Here is a 2,414-nt window from a genome sequence, read left to right on the forward strand (position 1 = left end):
GACCAGATTCTCTGTTTTGTCCTAGAGATTAGGGTAGGAAGATTGTCGTCTTGGTCTGATGAAAGCCTTGCCTTTCCAGTTAGCTTAATTAAAGGAAAAAGGGAGGAAGCCAGGAGGAGAACAGTCTGGTTTAGATCAGGGTCAGAGGCTTGGTTTTTACAAACACACCACAGATTCTTGTTGTTTTATGTTTTCAACATTTTTCTGGTTCTTGGTAGAAAGTCCAGTTCCGTTTTCAAAATGAACTAACCCCGTAGGTCCAGTGACTTGGCACTTTTTTTAAGTGTTTGGTGTTTCTGATGACAGCAGACCAGAGCCAGGAAGATTGTGTAGGTTCCCACATAGTCTCAGGACACGGAGAGATGATGGGTAGCTACCATGGTAAACTAGCAATGTGGGTACCCTAGTTCTCAAGGTCTATAACTAGTACCAGAATTAGATCATTTATCAAAACTTTCTTACACCATTTAAAAATTAATGTGTAAATTCTATCTGCTGTGGAGACTATGTTCATGCTAAGTCTCTTTACTTCCTCTTGCTATGTAATATGTCGTTTACTGTATATTACAAGAAATGCTAAGTGTGTTCAGCTATATACCTAGGGTAACCAACTCATCCTGACTTGTCTGGGACTTTCCTCATTTGCCTAAGACCTTTCTGGTTTTAACACTGAAAGTCCTCCATCCTGGGAAATCCCTCCATCCCTGGTAAACCAGGATAGTTGGTCACCCTAGTTGACTATATATCAATTGCATATATACATTATATAGTTGGTGGTTGAGAAAAGCTAATTAGTCACAGCTGTTTCTTATCAAATGAAAGAAGAAAGCCTTCTCACTGTGACCACAAAAGGCTAAAACACACAACTATATTTTACATGTGACTAACACATTGAAAATAACCAAATATTAAAAAGGCTTTTTAAAATAAATCAACTTTATTGATAGTTTGTTTACAATAAAATGCATTGATTTCAAGTGCAAATTTCAATGAGTTCTGACAAATATATACACCACATAAACACCACCACAATCAAAATAAAAACTTTTTTTTTAATTTAAAAGTGCCCCCTTCCTAGTCCATTTCCCACCCCTCTACCCTGGCATAATTCTGTCATCAATTTTCTGCTAATAATTTGGAAAATATCAATTGAAGAAATTATTTTTAAGACTATGATTACTAAAAGAATTGATTCAGAAAGAAGAAAAAGAAATAAGCCAAAAACTATGCAATACATTTTAAAAGTTGGAAAACAGTGTCAGATGGTTTAAAGGAACTTAATTTTCAGGCCATCTGAGTTCCTATAATGCATAGAAAAGGATGGGTCAATTCTCAATTAATTTTCTTAAGCTAGTAGTAAAATCTGACAATGAAATAAAAGAGGTCAAGGGAAGAGAGAGAGAGACTGAAACTAGAAGCCAAATGCATTTGTCAATTACATGTAAAAAGTCTAAATCACATTATATCCACTCAATTTCAACAGTATATTAAAAGAATAATACAACATAATCTAAGAGATTTAATTCCAGGAATTAAGGAGTTATTTAATATTAGAGTTAACCTATTGGGGTAATATATAGATCAGCTAGTCTATCTTATCCCCCAAATCTATAAACTTAATGCAATTTAAATAAACTACAAATGGAATATTTTTCTTGAATTTGACAAATGAATTATAAAATCAATCTGGGAGAACAAATAGGCAAAGATAGCAAATAAACTATTGGAGCGGGAATGAAGAAGGGAGAAATTGATCTGCAAAATATGAAGTATTATGATGAGAAAATTTAGTTCTGGTGCCAACATAGAGCAGTGGGACAGAATTAAAATGTCCTAAAGAGATGTATACAAAGAAGGGTGGCATTTTTCATGTTTCTTGCATCTAAGGGAGCCCATGTGACAAGTTCTCGCCAATGGATGAAGAATGCTGCTTTCAGGCTGACCTATAAAAGGTCCTGTAGAACCTTTCATGCTCTCTCTTTTCTTCCTCGCAGCTCACAGTGAAGGACCCTGAGAGGGCAGAGCCATGTGATGGAATGAGCCATGATCCCTGAGTCCTCACCTCAGGGAGAGATGTGCAGAAGAGCCACCCAAGTGGTGATGTGCTGGTAAACATTTAGTGACCCATTTGAGGTGTGGGGGGAGGCTCTAACTGGTAACATTTGTTAATTTCTGTAATGCATACTCCTACTAAGGCTGCTTTTAGGCAACCAACGTGATGTCACTGAACACAGTTTGGAATGGATGCACATAATCAGTTCTCATGATCCAGGATGAACCAGCCCTAGCATACCACTGCCCCTAACCCACATATAACTGTGTCATCATTTAAAAATAAACATATTGGGTTAAGCCTTTGAGATTTGGGGGTTGTTTGTTATAGCAACTAGGTAGTGTTAACCTAGCTAATATAA

General features: G+C 36.5%; 1 annotated feature.

Annotated features, from left to right (window-relative positions):
- Positions 612–661: an enhancer, noted in NCBI's record as "active region_25900". NCBI's record gives its function as "activates an Ori minimal core promoter by ATAC-STARR-seq in GM12878 lymphoblastoid cells {active_cell/tissue: GM12878}" and the evidence as "EXISTENCE:reporter gene assay evidence [ECO:0000049][PMID:35858748]".

The sequence above is a fragment of the Homo sapiens genome, chromosome 7 (genome assembly GCF_000001405.40).
Source record: "Homo sapiens chromosome 7, GRCh38.p14 Primary Assembly".
Classification (NCBI taxonomy): Eukaryota; Metazoa; Chordata; class Mammalia; order Primates; family Hominidae; genus Homo; species Homo sapiens.